Here is a 24,413-nt window from a genome sequence, read left to right as displayed (position 1 = left end):
CAAAAAATTATAAGAATGTATATTTGGGTTTAAATTACATATTGAAGTAAAACGTTTGACAACAATAATACAAATAACATGAGAGGATAAATATTCCATTGTAATGTCTTATATCATTGGAGGACTCATATGAAATTGATTCATAGTAGATTGTGATAAGATAAAGCACACAGATTATAACCCTTAGAGAAACTGAAAAAATAAAAGAGGTATGGCTAAAAAGCTGATTGAGAATAAAAAATAAAATACCAAAAGTTGCTCAATTAAAAAATAATGACTGGGCCAGGCACGGTGGCTCACACCTGTAACCCCAGCACTTTGGGAGGCCAAGGTGGGTGGATCACAAGGTCAGGAGTTCAAGACCAGCCTGGCCAATATGGTGAAACCCCATCTCTACTAAAAATATGAAAAATTAGCGGGACCTGGTGGCAGGCACCTGTAATCCCAGCTACTCAGGAGGCTGAGGCAGGAGAATGGCTTGAACCCGGGAAGCAGAGGTTGCAGTGAGCTGAGATCACACCATTGCACTCCAGCATGGGCGACAGAGTGAGACTCCATCTCAAAAAAAAAAAAAAAAAGGACTGGAAAGAATACAAATTTAAAAAGTTGGATAAATAAAAACAAATAGGAAAATAGTAGACTTTCACCCAGTCCTATAAATAACCACATTACATGTAAATGGATTAATCACTATAATTAAAAATTGGAGATCATCAGACTAGATAAAAAAGCAAGTCCTAACTACATGCTGTTTACAAGAGATGTTTTAACTATAAAGATCTGGAGAGTCTTAGGAACCCTCACACCTATTTGTTTTGTGCTATTTAAAAATAAAAAGATAGAAAGTTGCATTCCTTACAAACACTAATTATAGGAAACCTGGATTAGCTTTATTAATATCAGACTTCAAGATGAGGTGTATCACCACACTAAAGAAGTATATTTCATAATAATCAAAGAGTTAATTCATCAAGAAGACATAACAGTCCTAAATGTGCATACACCTGATAACAGAACTATAAGAAGCAAAAACTGACTGAATTAAAAGTAAAAACAGAAAAATCTACAATTATAGTTGAACACATTAACACTATAGCTTCAATAAGTGATAGAAAATTCACACAAAAATATTAGTATCTAGCATATTTGAATGATACTGTCAACCATTTTAAACTAATTGACATTTACAGAACACTTCATGTAGCAACAGCAGAATACAGATGTTTTCAAGAGCATTTGAAACAGTCACCGAAATACACCATGTGCTAAGCCATCAAATAGCTCTCAATAAATTTCAAGAGACTGAAATAATAAGTGTTCATTCTCCAGTAACACTGGAATTAAACTCGAAACTTACAAAAATGTACATCATAAAAATTCCCAAATATTTGGAAAATAAGCAACACACTTCTAAACTCAGGAGTCAAGAAAGGAATAACTAAGTTAATCACAAAATAACTGAACTGAATGAAAACAAAACGCAGCATATAAAAAATGTGTGGGATGCAACTAAAGCAATGCATAGAGAGAAATGTGCAGCTGTAAAAGTTTATATTAGCAAAGAAGAAAGGTTTAAAATCGAGATGTAAGCCAGCGTTTGGCAAACTAGGGTTCATGAGCTTAGAATGGCTTTTACATTTTTAAAAGGAAGAGGGGAAGGGGAAGAGAAAGAGAAGCAGGAGGAGGAAGAGAGGCAGCTGCAACAGAGACCACATGTGGCCCACAATGCTTAAAATATTTACTCTCTGGCCCTTTACAGAAAAACGTTAGTGACCCTTGACGTAAGTTTTCACCTCGTACTAGAAAAAACTGATGAATATAAATCCAAAGCAAGTAAAAGGAAGAAAATTTTAGAGATAAGAGTTGGATGTCTATGGTTTCTCTAGAAAATAGAGAAACATTGGAGGAAAAATAATGAAACTAAGTGATGCTTCTTTGGAAAAATCAAGGATGCCAATTTTCACCACTTCTGCTCAGCAGCGTACAGGAGATCCTAGCCTGTGCAATAAGGTGCCAAGAAAGATAATAAAGTCAAAAAGATTTTTTAAACTTCCAGAAATTGTTGCCTACATTCACCGTCTCTGCTTTTTCCCCTCCCGTTATTTCTTGAATTCACGCTCATGAGACTACCCCTCCCCCACCATTCCACCACAACCCGTCTTGCAAAGATCAACATACACCTCCATATTGCCAAATCTAACAGTTAATTCTTCATGTAATTTGACCTGTAAGCATCATTTGATGTAACTGATGTTCCCTCTTCCTTTAAACTCTTTTTTCACTTGTCTTTTGGGACTTGGTTTTCTTTCTAACTCACTTGCCATTTCTGCTCTATCACTTTATTGGGATCTCTTCACCTGTCCAACCTTTAAATGTCGGAATGCTCAGAGTTTACTTCTCAGACCTCTTCTCCATACTCTCTGTACACTCTCTTATTAGCATATAGGTGATTTGAAATAGCCCCTACGTGCTAATAACTCTCCTAGATTTTATAAATCTCCAGCCAGGGCTTGTCCCCAGAGCTTCAGATTCCTTAATCCAGCTGCCTCCCTGACATCTCCATTTTGATATATTAGGCACTTAAAACTTAACATATGTAAAAGTAAATCCCTGATCTTCCCTTCACTCCTACTCAAAGGCTGGTCCTCCTGCAATCTTCCTCTCCTCTGTAAATAGTAATTTCATTCTTCATCCTGCTCAGGACAGAAACCTTAGCATCATTCTTTTCTCATCTTTTCAATACCCCATGTTGAAATTCATCAACAATTCTCATCAGACTGCTTTCAAATGTATCCAGAATCTAATCATTTCTCACCACTTCCTCCAGCCACCCAGGACCAAGTCATCATTCTCTTGCATCTGGGTTCACTAACAGCTTCACAAGTGATGCCCTGGCTCCCACTCTTGTTCCCTCGACAGTCCTTTCTCTGGGCAGCAAGCCAGAGTGGTCCTCCTAAGACATAAGTCAGACCACGTTTCTTTTAAGCTAAAGCCATCCAACCGTTCCTCTAACTCATTCTAAGTTGGATCTGCCCCTGGCTACCTCTCTGCTTCATCTACTACTTTCCCACTTGTGCCCTCCACTATAGACTTTCGTGCTGCTCTAGGAACATATAATAAGTATGTTCCCACCTCAAGGCCTTGGACGTAGTCATCTGTCTGCCTGGAAAACCCTTCTCTCAGTTATCTGCGCTGAGTTCCCCCCGACCTCCTTCAGGTCTCTACTCAGACATCCCAGGGAGACCTTCTCCGATCCCCTATTTAAAATAGCTATTCCCACCCTGTCATTCCAGACCTTTTTTGCTTTATTATTATTTTTTTGTGTCTGTCTTCTTTAACCTGAACTGATAAGCTATACAAGGACAGGGATTTTATATATTTGTTTCATTGCTGTATTCACAGTGCATTGGATGCACTCAATATTTGGTGAGTAAAGTAAGGTATTCACTAGCTCATCAGTTTGTTTATTTATTTGTTTGTGTGTTTACTGAATTTCTACCTGCCAGGCACTGCCCTTAGGGAGCTCACAATCTAGTAAAAATAATAGGAACAACTACCATTTTTGCGTGGTGACTAATCACTTTGCATATGCCATTTTATTTCATCCTTACAATAGCCTGTTTTACAGATGAGGAAACAAGCCTGGACCAGTTAAATAAATGGACTAAAGTCAAGTAGCTAGTATGTACTACCTTTTTCAAAACCTGTTTGTCAACTACTGCCTCCCACTGAAATGATGTTCTTCTGTGTTGACATTTAGCTCATATCTCCATAAAAATTTTTAAATCGTTTAAATATATTTTCTACAGAGACTCAGACTGAATGTGAGTGAATAAAAGAGTTCATGATTATGAGAATTGTGACTTCTTTGGGGGACTTATTTGAGGACAAACAAATTTCCTGATTCCTCGACTCCCTTCAGCCTCTTCCCCTCTGATGAAGGCATGGGGAAATCCGTTGAAGCAAACATTCTAGCATGCCTTCTCTTCAAACTTCCTTCATGTTTGTGCTCGGCCAGGAACCTACTGCCAGCAGAGGGAGGTAGAAGCCATCATGGAGGGCGACGAGGAGGACAGAGGCTGCTGCTGCTGCAAACCAGGCCACTTGCCTCACCTGCTGTCCTGCAACGCTGCCTTTCACCTCCGCTGGCTCACCTGGGAAATCACGCAGACCCAGTACATCCTGGAGGGCTACAGCATCCTGGACAACAACGCGGCCACCATGCTGCAGGTGTTTGACCTCCGAAGGATCCTCATCCGCTACTACATCAAGGTATTGCTCTGTTTCCCAAACACCTAAGGCAGAAATGCTAGGATGGCACAGGAAGCTCCGAAAGAGCTCTGTCGAAAGCTAAATTTTGAAGCCTGTCATCCTCAGCTTCCGAATTGGAAACCCAGCCATCTGGGGAACCATTGCTTTTGGAAAAATCCTAGAGGGCTTTGATTTAACCTGAGATTTGTGCCCTGGGTCATATCCTAAGCTTAGGCACCAATAAGCAGTTTGTTTTCTTATCTAGGTCTTCTTTGTCTCTTCTACCACAGCATTATTTGCTTGTCCTGATGATGAGGACAAATTTAAATACCCTATAAATATTTCTAAGCCTCCATGTTTGAGTTATAAGGGTCAAATTAGATGCTCTGCACAGTGTCCACTTTAGAATCAGAATTATATTTTAAGCTCATAAGGAGAACTCAAAATGTAGCTAAACCATCCAGTCAGAATTGGCTGTGACAGCCTTTCCCCCTAACTCACATGGAGACTAATAACATATTTTTTCAGTTGCTCAGTGCCTACATCTGCCCAATTGTATTCAACCTCAGAAATCATGGCAGTTTGGAGTAAGTCTCCTGGAAAACAAGTGTGGCACCTGACTGAGGATGTGTAGTGTTCATCCGGGCTGAGGTGTTTTCTGAAGGGGAAGGGGCAGGCGAGAGCCGTGTGGCAGAGGAAATCTTCGCTGTGGGTCCTATTCTGGGAGTATGGGGGGACTTGGCATGGTGGAAGTCCTGGATGGACCACAGGAACGTCACCTCTTAATGCTGTTCAAAAAGAGGAAGCTCATCCGTCGGAGGCCACAAGGCCCTCTGCCAGCGTGCCGAGACAGGTGGTCCAGCAGAAATAAGAAACACAGAATGAAAAGATAACTTGGCACCTAAAGTTTTAACCAGCTAACAAACAAATGGCATTGAGAAATTTGGAATAAATCCAGACATGGTGGTTCACGCCTATAATCCCAGAGCTTTGGGAGGCCAAGGCAGGAGGATTGTTTGAGCCCAGAAGTTCAAGACCAGCCTAGGCAACATAGCAAGACCCCCCATCTCTACAAAAAAATTGAAAAATTAGCTAGATATGGGGTTCATACCTGTGGTTCCAGCTTCTCAGGAGGCTGAGGCAGGAGATTTGCCTGAGCCCAGGAGTTTGAGGCTGCAGTGAGCTGTGATTGCACCACTGCACTCCAGCCTGGGTAATGGGGATTCCCGAAATCCACAATAGCTGCTGAAGCTACATGGAAGCAGAAGATAGGCTGTGAAAGTCAGAAGGATAAATAGCTCTTAGATCTCATCCCCTAGGTGATTGCTACACAAAATGTTTGCAAAACCCTTTTCTGTGGCAGCATGTTTACAACAGATTTAGCCGTTTGTGCTCACCGTCTTTGTGTGTGCTGGAGATGCAAAACATTATATTCAAATTTCATACAAAACTATACATGTTTTGTCCAACCTAATGTAAATGGGGGAAGATTTGGGAAGCATACCAGGGAGTTATGCCTATCTTCTCTTTCTAGACTCTAAGCAAATTCAATATACCAGTTGTGTTAGATTTGGCAGTGAGCCATGAAATAAGAGTGGCATGCATGTTAGAAGCTTATTTCTCTTGGACTTTGATGATGGTTGGTATGGTAGCTTCCAAAATTTGAGTTCCACAATTTAAGTTACAGGCTTAAAGGGATAGAGGAAAGGACACAGAAAATGAAGACCAAGGGCATGCATCAGCAGTCTGTTAATGAGGTTCTAGGAAGCTGCCACAATATCCTCCTGTTGTATCCCATCAGCCGGAACATTGTCACATGCCACCTGGAAGAGGGTCTGGAAAGTGTACTTTGGGCAGCCATGAGCCCAGAATGAAATCGTGTGTTCACAGAAGAAGGAGAAAACAGATGATAAATGGTAACTAGCCATCTCTGTTATCTCCCTCAACAAGGAGAGTGTCCCTTGAGTATTTCCTTTAGTTTTCAGGAGGCAGGACAGGGTGGTTGCAGGAACAGCTAGATCCAGGGGCTGACTGAGCAAGAGGACTCACAGGCCCGTGAAGCAAGTGGCTGGAAGGGGGCAGTGAGGACCAGCAGTGTGGGTCTAGACAGCCACGTAGATAAGCCCTGGAGTTGACATCTTCCTGTTGCCTCAAGAATTAGGCTAGACTCATCCCGGCGCAGTGGCTCAAGCCTGTAATCCCAGCACTTTGGGAGACCGAGGCAGGCAGATCACTTGAGGTCGGGAGTTCAAGACCAGCCTGACCAACATGGAGAAACCCCATCTCTACTAAAAATACAAAATTAACTGGATGTGGTGGCACAAGCCTGTAATCCCAGCTATTCGGGAGGCTGAGGCAGGAGAATCACTTGAACCAGGGAGGCGGAAGTTGCAGTGAGCCAAGATCGCACCACTGCACTCCAGCCTGGGCAACAGAGCGAGACTCTGTCTCAAAAAAAAAAAAAAAAAAAAGAAAGAAAAAGAAAGAATTAGGCTAGACTCTTTCATCTGCTACCCAGAGACCTCCAGTATTGCCACTGGCTGTGTTTCCCACTCCCCCCCCATCTCTCACTGTTTTGTGTACACACTGTGCACACACTACCTGTGCTCCCTGCCCCACATGCTTGCACACTGCTTGCTCCTCCTGCAGGGACTCTCCTCTCCCTTCCACATGCCCGCAGCTTCTCTTCCAACCTCAGTCTCAACAGCTCTTCCTCACCAGCTGACAGCCCGGGGCCATGCCCAGCATTCCTCTCCCCTTGCTCTGCAAACTTTCCTACTTCACTCTATGGCAGTTCCCTAAACAGAGAAGCCACAACTGAGTCCTCTTTGGGTCCTCAGAGCTCTGCTTGATGACCTGTTTATTGCATGGCCCAATTTGTTTTTTTGTACTGAATGAACAAAGGTTCTGGGGAACATGGATTTGGAGTCTGGGCCATACAGTCTGGACAGAAGAGATCCTAATTCAGTCAAGGGTCTGGTGGCCTGCTGCAGGCACGAGTAGTGGGACTGGGGTTCAATACTGAGCCACATCCCTGCCTTTCCATGAGCCAGACACGTGGACAGGCCCAACTCGTCACCATGGGGCCAGCAGATCACCGTGAGTGGGAGAGAAGGGAGGAGGGATGAGAGTGAGATGCCCTGTCTGGGTCCATCCTCCCTGGCCTAACCCTGTTGGCTTTTACAGAGGCCTTGGAGGTTCCATGATTGGACGAGCTTTTTGATGCCTTCTTTCCTTGGACTGGTAGTTGATACTCACCTTTCTTTTTTCCTAACTGCTGGAAATGTGCCTCCCAGTCCCCTAGATGATTTCTAAGATGACAATTTGCCATTTGACAAATCCAGGATCATGTGCAAATGGAAAAGGGCTCAGGAAGGCTCCCCCAGAACCTGCCGGGTAATAGCTGGCTTGTGAGGAAACCATGCCCTCCACTCTGTTTTTTAAGAAAGGAGAGTGAAGGCAAAATGGGAGTTGCAGGTGGGCTAGGAGAGGCAGGCAGTGCATGGGTGTGCTACCTAGCATGGCGCCTCTCACAAGCCAGAGCCAGGGCAAACCTGGAGCAGACTCCCCTCCTCCCCTGCAAGCTAGTTAACTACACATTCCCATGTCCTACCCACACATTCGAATTCCATGGGCCTGGGGTGGGACCCAAGGACTTTTTTTTCTTTTTTTGAGAAAGAGTCTCACTCTGTTGCCCAGGCTGGAGTGCAGTGGTGTGATCTGGGCTCACTGCAACCTCCACCTCCCGGGACCCAAGGACTTATATTGTTTAATCAGTTTCCTAAGTGATTTGATATACAAGTAGGCTTTGGAGCTACTACAGACGTAATTGTGCCCCACAGAAACAAGAATGTTCTTAACTCCCAAGTCAGCACTCAGGATGGGGCTGAGATTTTTGGGCAGATGCCCAAAAACACGGTGCCCCCGTGTTTAATTCACATTGGTACTGCCAGGCCTATCCTGCGAGGTTGCCTCCAAATACAGCACTCAGTGCTTTTCTGCCCTTCAGCAAGGGGTGGCTTGGAACCTGCACTCATTCCCCAGTGCAGCTAGTTAAGGGAAATTTCAGGAGGGCTAACTGCCTATTAGAACAGAAGAAACAGCATTTTGGGGTTAAAAAAAAAGATGATTTTCTTCTTTGGCATGGTTGCTAGGTGAACAAAGTTGCCTTTGTAGCTCTGAATGACTTAAAGTTTCAAGAGTTTGATTTCATTCTGTTTATTATTTTCTTACTGGAAAGGCAAATTGAAAAGGAAGACAAATTTGAAATCATTCCTTTACTACAAAAGGAATTTTTTGAAATCTCCTAATAAACTGGGTCAGTTCCCCCACCCTGTATGAATATATTTGAAATCATTTCCTTCCTGGCGACTTGAGGTTTTCCCTCGTGTCTCCTCCATCTCTCTTCAGATTATTAGTGTTTAAAACCCGCTTAGCAGTCAAGGAATCTGCTGCTTTCTGTGTGGGCCTGGCTCTCCTGCTGTCATTGTTTCTGGGCAGCTCTTTTAGAAAGGAGACACGCTTATCACTGGCCTTGCAGAATGAGGCGCGAACAACCCGACAGGTTGGCCTGCCTGCCAGGCCCGCCTTCCTAGAATGAGTTGTCTGAAAGAATATGCTGATCTACAGTTAAAATGAGGAACCAGGAGAATCCCTGCTGGAGGAGCCAGATATTGTGAATTTATTCAGGAGGGGTCCTGCTTTCAGCACAGTCTAGGTTTACCCCATCAATTCATTGTCACTGCCCCGATTTATGTTTTACTTAGTGTTGTATCCACCTCATCCGGACAGATTCTGAAGGATTTTACAGTGTTCATTGACTGTGTCTCCGTGACAGAAGTTCTGCCTAGATTAAATGGAGATAGGGTATGACTTGCAAGCATTTGGGGTGGTTCTGTTTTCTCCCAGTGAGAAGTGTCGGTGCTGTGATTTAGAAAACTGAGCATCTAGCTGGGTTCTGTTCTGAAGTCAGCACTGCAGCGTTTTGCCAGACGGAGAGGAGGAAGTGTTAACCTCTGGGATTCAAAGTCCTCATTGACTATTCTGACTTCATCGGTTGTGGGGTTGTTTTAATTCCTCCCTAGCAATGAATGAAAACGTAAACTTTTGTCTTTCAGTCTTTGTTTGTTATTCCTATCTGGTATGTGATTAGGCCATGTTGCAGAAAAACTAGACCAGCTGTTCACTAGAGCTAGATGTTTAGAGAGACCAAATTTCTTTCTTCCCTTTGTAACGCTCAGCTGAGAAGCGGTGCTCGTGGACATGGGCATCGTTACTCTTTTGCTTGCAACTTTGGGCCGACGACTTAAACTGTCTTTAAATGATCCAGCCGGCAAGGAGACAAGAGAAAACCCTCCAGATTCAAAGTTTCTATTTGTGAATATCAGATGTGCACTCTGGTGACCACCACAGACACAACGGTTCTCCTGTCCCCTAATGCCATCCCTGTCCCCTCGCCCCTCTGCCTCAACCTCTCCTGGGCTGCTGCTACTGCTGCCACTGCCTGCCTCCCCTCTGAGTCCCACGCTCATCCTGCTTGCTGGGTAGGTAAGTCACAGATGTCAAAGGCATGACTGTTTTTCCACATATACACATATCAACGGGCCAGGCCATGTGCTGAGTTCCTCATATAGATTGTCTCATTCTAAACCTCAGAACAGCCGTGCAACGTGGGCATCATTAGCATGTCTTTCTTTCCCGCCTCTGCCTTCAGCTTCCTTGACCTCTTTCTCCATCACTCCCTCTCTTCCTTCCTCCTTATATCGAAGGGCTTTCCTGAGGCCAGGATGGTTATGGTGGGGTGTTACAGAGGATGGGAGAACAGGCACACTACTGAATTCTAGTTATTGTCTGCAGATTTCATTTTTCCACTTCCTCATTTTTGGGACAGGTAGACTGTGGAGCGTAATAGAAGGTGTGTCCAAAAGAAGGGAGAGCATCAGCCATGAACCACAGAGGAACCTCCCCAAAGTCCAGGCTGTCCTCAGTCCTCACAGCAGAGAGCCTAAGTCATGCATTTGCAGTTGTTTAGTGGAAATCACAGACTGTCTCTTCACCTGCTAAAGTCCTAAAAAAAAACCCTTGAAACCAGATACCCAAGTAAACTTGAGGCCTTGAGCTCTGGGTTTTATTTCCCAGACAGAGGGAGGGAAGAGCCAGAGAGGGAGGGTGGGGGCCCCCCTAGAAAAGGGTTTCTCAGCCCACTCCACTTACAAGCGTCAGTCACTGAAGACTTCGTTTCCGTCCACCCAATATTCGTTTTCTGCTTTCTCACTTAAAAAGAATATGTTTTTATAAACAGAGAAGAGCATCAATTAAGCGTTTGTTTCTAACAGGAGCACACATCCCTGCCTCCTTGCATCAAACACTGTGAGCCCTCCAGCCCCTCATGATTTCACAGTGAGATGTGCAGCCTCATTCCAGGGGTGCCCCTCAGCCTCAATAGCCTGGAGCACCACCTGCATTTTTCTGTTATAATGGAACTGCGGTGCACGCTGGCAGGGACTCCACAGCAGCACACCCTGATCCAAGCCTATCAGGCTTGGATTTTCATTTCCTCTGTCCCATTTCTATTTCTTGAGGCCAGGTGCTAGCCTTTTTGATGGAGGAATTTATTCAAAAACTACAAAATGGCTTTCCACAAAGCTGTTACTCATAATAATCAAGCCCAAGGGAGGCATTTTCCCCAAGTGGGACTCATAAGTACAGTGTCTGATTAAGAAGGAAACATGGGTTACTTGTGAATGTATCACAGATGTCCACTGTCTGGGCACTCAGGATTAAGTGTGTGAAGATTACAACAATTTCACATTGTCAATGCTTTCCATAAGAACTGTGTTGTTTTGGCTGGGCACAGTGGATCACCCCTGTAATCCTCGCACTTTGGGAGGCTGAGGCAAGAGGATGCTTGAGCCCAGGAGTTCAAGACCAGACTGGGCAACAAGATCCTGTCTCTACAAAAAAAAAAAACTAAAATATTAGCCAGAAATGGTGGCTTGCACCTGTAGCCCTAGTTACTCTAGAGGCTGAGGCAGGAGGATCGCTTGAGCCCAGGAGTTCAAGGCTTCAGTGAGCCATGACTGTGCCACTGCACTTCAGCCTGGGAATCAGAGAGAGACACTGCTGTCTCAAAAAACAAACAAACAAACAAACTGAAAACCCTGTTATTTTAGTTCATTAAATACTCATTGGCTAGGTCTCTGGAGGCAGGTCTACCCCAATCTCTTTCAGCTGAATCAACCTAGCCTAGGAACCACCAAAGCCTACAGCAACCCCGTCAGAGGGTGCTTTTGTGTGCTTTTCTCAGAAAGGATGGGGCTGACTGTCATTCTTCCTCATCATACAAATTATGTTCCATTACATTCTGTTAGCATTACGTTCTTCTCACTTTCCTCTTCCCTAAGATAACCCTTAAGAGAGGACATTTTAGAAATGTCTCAGATGAGTTCTGTGCATTACACCCAGCAGAAAATACAAGTGATACTATCTGTAGGGATTTCATGTCTCTTACTTTCCTGAGGTTGAAGATAACCCTTAAGAGAGGACGTTTTAGGCCAGGCATGGTGGCTCATGCCTGTAATCCCAGCACTTTGGGAGGCCAAGGCGGGCGGATCACGAGGTCAGGAGATCGAGACCATCCTGGCTAACATGGTGAAACCCCGTCTCCACTAAAATAGAAAAAATTAGCTGGGCGTGGTGGCGGGCGCCTGTAGTCCCAGCTACTTGGGAGGCTGAGGCAGGAGAATGGCGTGAACCTGGGAGGCGGAGCTTGCAGTGAGCCGAGATCGCACCGCTGCACTCCAGCCTGGGTGACAGAGCAAGACTCCGTCTCAAAAAAAAAAAAAAAAAAAAAGGACATTTTAGAATGTCTCAAATGAGTTCTGTGCATTACACCCAGCAGAACATACAAATGATACCACATGTAGGGATTTCATGCCTCTTACTTTCCTGAGGTTGATTTACTTTCTAAGATTAAATTAATAAATAAAATCTTCCTGGCTTTTTCTCTGCAGAGTATAATATACTATATGGTAACGTCTCCCAAACTCCTCTCCTGGATCAAAAATGAATCACTTCTGAAGTCCCTGCAGCCCTTTGCCAAGTGGCATTACATTGAGCGTGACCTTGCAATGTTCAACATTAACATTGATGATGACTACGTCCCGTGTCTCCAGGGGATCACACGAGCTAGCTTCTGCAATGTTTATCTAGAATGGATTCAACACTGTGCACGGAAAAGACAAGAGGTAGGTCAGGGAGGTGGGGGCTGAGGCATGGAATGTAAGTTTAATAAATAAAGAACATTGTCATGTCCATCTCTTTCTTATATTCTATGGTAGACTTTTAACATAGAGGATAGAAAAAAAGCACTATTTGGACAGATGTTTATTGAAGGTAAGCAAAATTAAATAGGAGAATCAATATACCATGTCTCCAATGAAGGACACTTAAAGATATAGATCCCTTTATGCAGTGCTCAGGGCCAGCGAAGTTTTAAGCCTCTATTATAACTTAAACATTTGAAGCTTCTTTGTTTAAAATTACATTTTGGGATTTCCCTACCAAGTGTGTCTGTGCTGAAATCAGGGGGATTTACTGAACATATTGAATCATGGACATGAAAATTCTATTTAGCAATCAGATGGTCCAACTTAACTTCTGTCATCGTTATTTTGTGTGTCTGTGCTGTTATTGCGTATGTGCTGAGAACACTTCTGGAAGTGAATCCTGCCTCTTAGAAATATAATCAAGAATTATGACAGTTTACAAAAAGAGGAGAAAGGGGCAGGGGAGGAGGAGAAGGGGGAGGGAGCAAATGAAGGGAGCAGGTTTACTTTGCTTCTTAGTATTTGAAAAGCTGAGTCCATGGGTTGTTGTTGGAAAATGTGGGTACAAGTTAGAAACAACTTCCTCAGCAGCTGATGCAGTCTGTGGCATGTCCTAGAAAGAGTAAACCAAACCACGACACTAGCCAAGGTCTGTGAGTTTCTTATGGGTGATTAAAAACAGGTGGGAGAAGAAGCAGGTGGCAGAAACTGCTTTCTCCAGACCAACCACAAAGAAGGTGTGATAATAATCTTAACTCATGCCAGGCCTCTTTCAGCAGTTGAGATATTCAAAGAATTGATTGATGTTGTCGGCTGTAGCTCCATGATGGCTCTGTCCATTCCTCAGATGGTTCATGGAATTATTTTATTTTCCTTGCAAAAGATATTTTGACTTTAAATTTCCTCTGCATCTCCCCACTCTCCCTCCCTTTTTTTTTTTTAAAGCTGACTTTGGACAACTTTTTTTAAGAAACAGAGTCTCACTCTCCTTAGGCTGGAGTGCAGCAGAATGATCATAGCTTATTGCAGCCTCAAACTCCTAGGATCAAGTGATCCTCCTGTCCTAACCTCCCTAGTAGATGGGACTAGAAGCACATGCCACAATGCCTGGCTAATTTATTATATTTTTTTATTTTTTTATTTTTTTGAGACAGAGTCTTGCTCTGTTGCTCAGGCTAGAGTGCAGTGACGCAATCTCGGCTCACTGCAGCCTCTGCCCCCCGGGTTCCAGCGACTCTCCTGCCTCAGCCTCCTGGGTAGCTGGAGGTGCACACCACCATGCCTGGCTAATTTTTGTATTTTTAGTAGAGACAGGGTTTTGCCATGTTGGCCAGGCTGGTCTCAAGCTCCTGACCTCAGGTGATCTGTCCGCCTCGGCCTCCCAAAGTGCTCAGATTACAGGCGTGAGCCACCGCGCCCGGCCACCTGGCTAATTTTTTAAAAAAATTTTATGGAGATGGGGTTTTGCTATGTTGCCCAGGATGGTCTTGAACTCCTGGGCTCAAGTGATCCTCACACCTTGGCTTCCCAAATTGCTGGGATTACAGTTATGAGCCACCATGCCCGAGCTAAAAGATTCCTTTAATTTGGTTGTTGATTGTGGACTTACAGTCTAGCAGTCAACCCACAGGGCTCCTTCTTTTAGGGAGAACAGAGGACTCTCCTTCACATTGGATCCAAGTTCTTTTTCTCTCCCTGCTAGACCATGCCTCTCCTTTGCATTGGAGAGTGTTAAGGTGGGCACCCATTTGACTGTAATCACTGCCCATCTTTATGACCTGAAGTGCCATATTTCAAATCCCAGAAAAGCAGATCATCAGCCCACATTGTAGGCCCTTTTCTCTCCTAAAATAACTTTTCCACTTTTATTTTTTTTTCCGTGTCCAACCACAGGAGAAACTGCTTCAGGAAGCTGAGCATTCCCTGTCTGTGGGGTCATCTTAGAGGGGACTGGATGACCACGTGGCTGACTTACAAAGCCAATGTCACTCTACATTTATGCCTGTGTGTTGGTACATATTGGAATCTGTGTGAAAGCTGAGTTAACTTCTTGCTCTTTCAGCCTTCAACGACCCTGGACAGTGACGAGGACTCTCCCTTGGTGACTCTGTCCTTCGCCCTGTGCACCCTGGGGAGGAGAGCTCTGGGAACAGCCGCTCACAATATGGCCATCAGGTACCTGGGGGGAGAAGTTAGAATCTCTTAGGTACAGGCACCCACTTTCACATGTTTGACAGATTTTGTCAATCATTTCCTTTATTTTGAAGCTGGACTTATTATACTACTTTCAGATAGTTCTTTTCATAATAAATTATATTGGGCCTACATGAACATTTTTTTTGATCACTGCTCTTTTGGAGTATTCAATTTGGAAATATCATTCACGTGGAATAGTCAAGACCCAGGGATTCTGGATATAGGACCTTCTGTGTTACAGAAGTCCTTGCAGATTCGCTGGGAAGATTCAATGAAATCATGCCTATGAAGTGCCTAGCCCAGTACCTAACAGAGTTGCTGCTCAGTGTTAGGTCCCTTTCCCCTAATTGTCTTCATAAAAGAAAATCCTCACATCTGAGCTCTAGTCCAGACCCTACTTCACCCCGTCTCCTTGGAGCTTTGATGAATTGGATGCCCCTTCTGTTTTTCAAACCCTTTCTCTACTGGGTCTCTCCCCTCAGTGGGTAAATAGCTCACGTCTGTCTTTTTAAAGAACAGAAACAAAATCAAACTCTGCTGGCTCTTTGGCACCCTGTGTCACTCGGGTGATGTTGTCCACCAAAGAAACAGTACTCATGCCAAACTGCTCTTAAAATTTCATCAGTCAGCTTCAAATCACCCAAATCAGTGGCCATTGCACAGATGTCCCCTTTTTTAGCACTATGGGCTGTGGTGCTGAACTCTGTCTGCCCACAAAGTGGAATCACCTTGATGAGTGGTTCTCAACCCCACGTGCACGTTAAAACCTCCTGTCAGGCTTTTAAATATCCTGATTCCCAGGATATTTAATCAATTCCATCAGCACCTCTGTGGGTGGGACCACACATCCCAAGTTTCAAAAGCTCTCAGGTGATGTCAGTGGGCAGCCAAGGTTGAGAACACAAACCTAGGGAGCTTAGAGAAGAAAGGGGGCCTCTACTTAGCCTCTGCCCGTCTGGGATTGTTTCTACTTGGACTTGCTTCATTGTGTCTATATTATATTATTGATGGTGCTCTACAAAAGAGGTTCTTTTGATATTGACTTGAGTGAGTTTTGTGACGTTAGGTGGGATTGTAAGCTTGTTAAGGGCAAAACCCACCTGTCTATTTGTTTAGCAACTGTCACAGTTCTGGGCTGTCAGGTAACCAAGCCCAGGGAGCCTTGTTGACTGTGTTTCCAAATGTCCTTCTTGAAAGGGGCAGCTGTGAGTCTACACTGGTGGCAAGTTGTTGGGAGGTATCATCAAGTAAGAGTTGTGAATTGATAAAGGGTAAAGTGTGTGGCTGGCAGCGCTTTTCATTTTCCTCTGGAGGCAGTAGCCTGGAGTCACCAAGAGGGACAAGTAAGAACCAAGGGTAGTTAGGATTTGTGATATCAACTACTCTTTCAACTCCCACGTCTCAGAATTTCATGATCGTTTTTACAGGTGAGAAATACCAAAACTCTGACCCTTAAAGTCTCATGTTAATGCCTATTTTAGGCCAATCTCCTGGGGAGGAGCTGGCTGGCCTCTGGTCTCTCCCTGTCCTCTTACCTGACTCAGTCTCACACTGGACTCAGGGCATTCTCTTTGTGGCCATCTGGGACTAAGCTTGATGATTGCCGCAGGTCTAACAGATGACTCCTCTGTGGGCTTCATAAAACATTGTGATGTGGCCCCTAAGATCGGGCTCCTTATTAAACTGTAAGCAGAGAACAGTGTTTGAGAAGGGCTTCATAGGATCTTGCACTTGAAATCACAAAATGACTCTTGAGATATTCGTAGCACCTGGGAAGATGATTAAAATAAGCTCTTTTGTTGGATCAATTTGAAATGTTTTATAAACTTCAAGTTGCAAATATTATCTCAGTTCATATCTAAGGCATTTTCAAAAGCTTTTTCAGTCTTGTTCTTTGTGTAACTTGTTCAGATATTCCTGATCCAGGCGTTTCTTGTTTGGTCTGCCTTATTTCTTTTTCTTTAATTAAACACCATGCTTACCAGCTGCTTTTTTAAACTTTGTTTTGATGGAATTTCCTTTATTTCAGATAGTTTCTCATACTCAATGTCAACTCTACTTGCTGCAGACATGGTGATGAGGTAACTCTGGGGAGAATCCTCTCAGTATTCTAGGGAAACACTTGACTATTTGGGACTGGTTCACTTCACCGAGAGGTTCCACCACATAGAAAGATCCTCCAAGACGCTTTCCTTTCAGTTTTTTCACTTACAAAAGACAACTTCTTTTACATCCCACCCTAAGCCCATGGTCTGAAGTCATGAAGTTCTGACCTAGTTGGATATGCCTGGGGATTGGGGTGGAGGATGCAGTGGGAGGGGAGGTTGGAGCCTGGCAGGGCCCCACCGCTCTTCAACCAACAGCTGGGATTTCTATTGAATCTGCTAGGGTGCCATAAATAGTTTGACTTGAAAAAAATAGTCTACAGAGCTCAAATTTTACACATAATTTTTATAGATACTGTTTAGGGAAAAACTCTCAAACCATGTTTTTCCTCTCTTCTCACACAAAAACAACAGTCATCAACACAGAAGACTTCTGTGGCCCCAATATATGTGGGATTTCTTCCTGCAAGCAAGCACCACTTCTGTGGTGAACTGTCCTCCAGTTCACTTCTGACACTAACCAGAGATGGTGTCAGAACCCACAGGTTGAAGGTTGAGGCCCACAAGTCTGGGCCACCTGAACTTCTGACTGGCTTCTACATGAGGGGTCCCACAATTCCCTCTTTGGGGTCAATGAATTTGCTAGAGCAGTTCACAGAATCCAGGGAAACACGTTTACTAGTTTATTATGAAGGATATTTTAAAGGATACAAATAAACAGCCAGATGAAGAGATGCATAGGGCCAGGTCTGGAAGGGTCTCGAGCACAGGAGCTTCCATCCCTGTGAAGTTGGGGTGTGCCACTTTCCAGGCAGGTGGATGAATTCTTCTTCACCTTCCTATCTACCTGCACATGTTCAGCTCTCTAGAAGCTCCCAGAACTGTGTCCTTTGGGCTTTTTATGGAGCGTCATTGGTTGTCCATGATTAAAGCTTGGACAGCTGTGCAGAAATGTGATTGGACAAAAAGGGCATTACCTAAACCCAGCAAGGCTAGTCTGCTCAGATTCTTCTTGGCCTCTCTGTGCAGCATTCTTTTCTCCAGAACATGTGCACGTCCTGCACATGTACCACGGAACTTAAAATTAAAATTAATTTTTAAAATGGGGTTTGGTTTAGGTTTTCTATGAAACCACTGTTATGAAGGCAGGGAGTTTTCTTCTTTTCCTAGCTTGCTAAAGCTTTATCAAGAAAGGATGTTGAATTTGTATAGAATTGGGGGGCATAATTTGGGTGATATTATTCTTCTTCTTTAATATATTAATGTTGTATTACATTAGTAGATTTCCTCATGTTGAAACATGCTTACAATTCTGAAATAAGCTCTACTTGGTCATGATATATTATTGTTTTTATACAATGATGGATTCAATTTGCTAATCTTTTAGTATGATTATATTCATGTGCAAAGTAAGAATGGCTCATAATTGTGTGTTTGCATATGTGCTATATGGTTGTATAACTTTAAAATGGGGAGTATGTCCTTAGGTGTACTGTAGGAGACCCAACAAGTCATTGTTACATAGTTAGTGCTAAAGCACATCAGGTGATGGTGAACACTGACTCTCCAGGCAGGTCTTAAACATATGCTTCACTTGACCAATTTGTTGGGGGAAATGTCTTGACTTTACAAAACTGACATAGATTTGATGGATAGTCCTGAAGAAAGAAAAATATATGCATGCAAAATTAGGGAGGATGAGTACATTGAAATTCATCTTAAATGAGATGCCAAATGTAAGTGAGCAAAAGACTACCTTTATATAAATTGTCTTTAAATAAAATGTTGATATGTTATGGAGATGGAATGGGTTCATATGGATGTGACAAGAAGACACTTATATTTTTTAGATTTAAGGTTTGGGACATACCTTCTTGGAAAACTGTGTCTCCCACTGAAGAAAGCCATCTAGATATAATGGGATGTTTTAGTAGGAAGTCAAAATAGTTTCACTGACCACAGAGTATGAGATGGTTTGATTACTGTCTTCAAATACATGAAAGGTGATGAGGTGGATTCTAGCTGATGTTCCATCCTTCGAGGTTAGGAGAAGATGGCTGCATTTTATAGAAGCAACAGGTTTGTTTGTAAAAGAAAATTTACTGACTCAGAGTAGAGTAAGCTTCCAAGAGGATAGAAAATTTAAAGCAAATTTGATCTTGAAAAGTGATAGGGAGACAAGCCAGACTGAAGTGTGCTCTGCCAAGCTGTGGCATGCTGCCTTGTTGCAGGAGGTCACTGTTGTGGTCTGAGGTCACTCCATCTACCATCTACCCACTCCTCCCACCCACAGCGTGTTGAGGAAATATTCTCTTCAGAAATCCAAGACATCATCTCAACTTCTCCTCCTGAGCTTCCACTGGAGATGAGGCCCCCACGGGGGCCAGCTGTCATGTCACAGTGGGTCATCTTGTAAAGGGAAATTAAGGTCCACTTGCCAGACTAAGGAAACTCAGAAATCAGAATCTGATAAAGTAAACAGGATGCAATATCTGACCTAGGAGATTAAAATCATGTTATCAAGCTAAAATCACAATCTTGGAACATGAGAAAAATATGTAAGTCTAAAGCATAGGGGGAAAAAATGATAGCCTACAAAGGAGCAGAAGTTTCTGGGACCTTAAATTCTAATGCAGTGTGGCAAAGCCCCTCCCACCTGGGCCTGGCGTATGGGCTCTCCTCCAGGTTCCAGCTCCCTGCTTCTCTGAAATGTCTTGCCATCTTTAGGAGACCCCAGGTTCTCTGGTCCCATGAGTCCAAACCTCAGAATCACAGAGGGAGCTTGATCAGAATACAGACCCCAAGCTCCATCGCAAACCAGTGACATGGACTCTCTAGATCTTGGATTTGGAAATCTGTGATTTTCAACAAGCTGCTGAGTGATTAATTCTTCTACAGCCAGCCCAACCCTGGTCATCAGGCCGGGCTTATGAAGGATTTTGCACCAGACAATAGTAGTTGATCCGCTTGATGTGGAGCCTCCGAGCAGAGAACTATTGCTGTTAAAACATCATGAGGTCAAACTACTTTACAAATATATTTTTAATTAAATTTTGCATTTTAGTTATTTCTATTTTGTTAATTATTATTTCACACTTATGATTTATTTGAAGCAATATCACCAATATCACTGAAATCCTTTAGCCAACATAATTTATTTCCAGTGATTATATGAGATTCTGCAATTCAAATGTGCTTAGTTTATATCTGAAGCCAAGGTGGCCTGGATATTAATTGCTGAAATATACTAGTTCAGGGGTGAAAATAACAATAACAGTATCAGTGAACACTTACAGCGGTGCCCACTAGGTACTGGGCAGAGTGCTAATGCAAGTTAGGAGAGTTAATGCATTTCGTCTTCTCTGAAGGCATGAGAGATGATGAGATAGGTATTATTGGCTCGATTTTGCAGCTGGGATTTCTGAAACACAGAGAAGTGATTTGTGCGAGTCTCACCATAGAGTCATGCCCAGACTCCAGAGTCCTTGCTCCTACTGGCCACACTGTCCCGCTGTCCACAACATCTCCCAGCAGTTAATCTCCATCTGCTGTGCAGGAACGCACCACACTCCCCCCAGCTCTGCATGGACACTTCCCTGGGGTGGCCCAGCTGCTCCAGGGCATCCACCTTCTCACCTATGCACGCTTCCTTGTGGACCTGTCCTGTGCTAGGTTGTGATGCTGAGAGCTGCTGACAGCACCTGCTACAGGCATCATGGCTCTGATGCTCTGGGTGGCCTGACCTCAGGGATGCTTCAACCCTGGGATGGCATCTTGCCCTTTCCTGCCAGCCCAGTGCTTTTCCGATAGGAGTTGCTGCCACTGTGCACCCTCCGTGCCCAGCTTACTTGGACACATCCACTGTGTCATTGAAGACACAGGCTTTGATCCCATAGGACAAGGTGAACACTGGACACTGGGGTGTATTTGGAATTGTCCCACCCCCTCACCAACAGGCACCCATTGTCTGCAGACCCCACTTGTGCACTGGGTCCCCCATGGAAAGAAATTCCTAGCAAGACCCTCACCAAGCCTCTAAATATGCCTGGCAGTAATTGATCTTATGAGTGAACACAGAAAGAAATTGATGACAATGAGGGCAAGAGACAAGTATCAGAACCAAGATTTAAGCTTCAGTTTGGAGCTCCTGGCTCCCATCCCTCCAACCCTGTAGGTCCATATGCCGCTTCTCAGTGTAGCACCCGAACTCTAGAGGAAGTGAAGCACCTTGGAGCTATTTGGGGGACATCACGTGTTCTTTACCGAGTGTTCTTTCTGAATGTTCTTTACCAGGTAGGAGAGAGCTGGGATCCCAACCAAAGGTTGTCTTGATTTTAGAGCCAATGGAGTAACTTCTTGGATAAAGAGTTCATGAAAGCAGTATTAATACACTCTCAATTCAGGGTCTGTGCAGGGTATACATACCAATTAGGAGGGTGAGATGGGGGTGAGTTCAAGAATTATACTCACAGTGCTTTCAGTATTGTGGCTCAACTGAAGCCTTTAAAGGGATGAGTTCATTCTCACACAGCTGAGAAGGCCTTTAAGAAGATGACTCAGGGCTGGGCACGGTGGCTCACGCCTGTAATCTCAGCACTTTGGGAGGCTGAGGTGGGTGGATCTCTTGAGGTCAGGAGTTCGAGACTAGCCTGGCCAATGTGGTGAAACCCTGTCTCTACTAAAAATACAAAAAAAAATAGCCGGGCATGGTGGCAGGTGCCTGTAATCCCAACTGCTCAGGGAGGCTGAGGTGGGTGGATCTCTTGAGGTCAGGATTTCAAGACTAGCCTGGCCAACATGGTGAAACCCCGTCTCTACTAAAAATACAAAAAAATTAGCCGGGCATGGTGGCAGGTGCCTGTAATCCCAGCTACTCGGGAGGCTGAGGTGCGAGAATCATTTGAACCTGGGAGGTGGAGGTTGCAGTGAGTTGAGATCACGCCACGGCACTCCAGCCTGGGCAACAGAGAGAGACTCCGTCTCAAAAAAATAAATAAAAAAAGAAGAAGATGACTCCAGTTACACATTATAAAAGCAACTCCATGTTTGCTAGAGAGGTAGGTGGCCTGGAAGCAGCTGTGGGTTTTCTCCTGTGCTTCTTCAGTGTGACATCAGATTCTGAGTATTTGCTCCCACCCATCTTACTCTCTTTCTCCACTTTTTCTGGCCTGTTTCTTCTCATATGAAAGGGTTGTAATAATTACATCATGCATCCGTGAGAATGAGAGGAGCCTATGGAATGGAAAGCGCTTAGTGACCCACAAGTCACCATACAAATGGAAGGTGTCTCCTTCTGTTTCACTTTTAGTTGCTCAGAGATGGTGCTAGTCATCTAGTTGCCAAGCTGGAGTACAATGGCTACTCGCAGGTGCTGTCAGAATGCACTACATCCTTGAACTCCCCACATCAGCCTTCCACGTCGCTGAGACTACAGGCATGTGCGACTGTACATGCCTTTGGATCATTGTTTTTGTTTGGGGAATTGCAGCAGGAGAGTGTGGTCAGGAGCATGGGATTGACTGCGAAACCAGTGTATGGTTGCTGGGTTCCACAGAGAGGAATAAGGCACACATGAAGAGAGCTTGCTGCAGTACCCAAGGTGGAGATGCTATCTGAGCCTGGGACAGTGACTAAGGTAGATGGGCACACACACTCTGAGTATTTCTGTTACTAATCAGTAAACATGGGACACCCAGCCTGCAAATCACACTTAATTGTTTACATATGTTCTACAAGCGTTCCATTTATGGCAGTGCGTGGCAGCAGAAGGCGCTTCACAATGCTAATCTGTAAATAACATAGTATGTACAGGCCTGTTTGGAAATTAACTAAACAAATCAGTCATTGTGCTGGAGATCCCCCTGTGAGTCCTGCAGAAACTATCCCCACATTAGAGCTGTTTCTCTCTGCATCCCAAGGTTCATTAAGACTTAAGATAAGGACCCCATTGTCCAATACTTGGAGCCCTTCTCCTCCACTGCTACTCTGTCTCTCTGAAAAAGCAGGGTTTCTCAGCAGCAGCACTGTAGACATTTTGAGCTGTATGGTTCTTTGTGGTGGGGGCTGTCCTGGGCATCGTGGAAATGGCCCCAGCCTCCAGCCAGAGAACAGCCATTTCCAGGAAGGTTGTAAACAATTGTGCTTTGCACTGAGGCCCCAGCCTCCCCTCTACATGCACAGCCACCAGCTATGTCATATGAAGTGGGTGAGGAACCAGAAGGACAGCAAGTGATGGGTTCATTCTGTGCCGAGTAGCGCAGTTACAGCCTACGCAGTACACTCCAGCTTTTTCCAGTTAAAAAGGAAATGTCCTCAAGTGTTAGCTCCTCATCGTCATCTGAAAGCGTGACATTTTTCTAATGCTGTTTTTATTTATGACAGTATTTAGCACTTCCATGGTGCCATGGAAGCTGGTGCCTGGTTATCTCATTGCCATAGTCTTTGGTCTTCTATGTGTGGACCTGCTCCCCTAACACATGATTACACATGTGCCGAGTTTTTTCAGGGCCCTGCCTGCCCTCTCTGCCCCTGTGGAATCCCACGCCACTGACTTCCCAGCTGACCGACTATGATAAGATGACCTGCTTCACTGACATCCTCCACAGGCGTGCGAGTGGGGGCTGTTTTAGTCCCCAGGAAGGCCAACCTTCAATGACTCAGATGCAACACTATTTCCCAGTAATAAAAGCCCAGCTCCAGCTGTTGGCCTGAGGGTGGGAGCCTGTCATTTCTCCATAGAGCTTTGAAAAGACATAGCCCTGTGAAGCTCCAAAACAGAAATGCACTGCAGGTGTCCTGCGGACCTCTGCTGCCCGCCACCCCCGCTTGGCTTGTCACAGCTCACCACCTTCCCCTCTTCATTCTCTCAGGGGGAAAAAAGCCAGGTAATGAAACACCTTCCTTTTAGGATGCCTTGATCTCTAAGGTGCTGTGGATAATTTCCCTGATCTAGTGGAATTCTAACTCAGAGTTTGTTTTCTACATTGAGAATCATTTCAATAATGGAATAGCATGAAGCACCACAATGTCTCATTTTCTCTGAAAATAGAAATGACAGGGAAAATATCCATTGTTGGTGGCCTTTGATGGAACTCAAGCCTCTTAGAGAGGCTCCTGTGGAGGCTGCCTTTCTCCTGCTGCTGAGTGAGCACTTGACGGCTGCCGGGCACACGCAGCTGGGCAAACACTAGGCTGATGCCTGCGATTCCTGGCTCTTCTCTTTTGTCTGTGGATGTTGCTCTGGGTGTCTGGGTGTTAATCTTCCTTTTCCACTATCCCCATCTCTACATCTGGAGAAAGCTTTTTCTCTTATGCATATGCCAGGCCATTCTGAGCAAGTATCATGACCCTCCGAATCCTTTCCTGAATAAATCCCACCCATTTTTCAGGAGTTAGCTCTCTCATTTTAGCACTTAGCTCCTATCTGATGCTGTGAGCATTTCCAAATGTTTTCTTTTGAGAGCAGGTAGCGGTCATTATTCATGTTTCGAAGCCTCCACTCTCGGCATCAGCCTACCTGCAGCCTGACTCTGCT

The 24,413-nt window shown here is 44.4% G+C and overlaps 1 protein-coding gene across 6 annotated transcripts in view; it reads left to right on the top strand.

The window, feature by feature from the left end:
* PCNX2 (pecanex 2) overlaps positions 1-24,413 on the top strand; it is a 343,895-nt gene that overhangs the window by 297,912 nt on the left and 21,570 nt on the right. For 5 of the 6 annotated variants that reach the window (XM_047430870.1, NM_014801.4, XM_047430871.1 and 2 more), the window contains 3 exons: positions 4,019-4,272; positions 12,264-12,497; positions 14,641-14,753. In XM_047430870.1, coding sequence (XP_047286826.1) covers positions 4,019-4,272; positions 12,264-12,497; positions 14,641-14,753 — 601 coding nt within the window. Of the gene's footprint in view, positions 1-4,018; positions 4,273-12,263; positions 12,498-14,640; positions 14,754-24,413 lie in introns of those variants that run through there. The other variant, XM_047430872.1, reaches the window with a different exon arrangement.

Source organism: Homo sapiens, chromosome 1 (genome assembly GCF_000001405.40).
Source record: "Homo sapiens chromosome 1, GRCh38.p14 Primary Assembly".
In the NCBI taxonomy this organism is placed as follows: Eukaryota; Metazoa; Chordata; class Mammalia; order Primates; family Hominidae; genus Homo; species Homo sapiens.
This window is presented reverse-complemented; position numbering and strand designations above follow the sequence as displayed.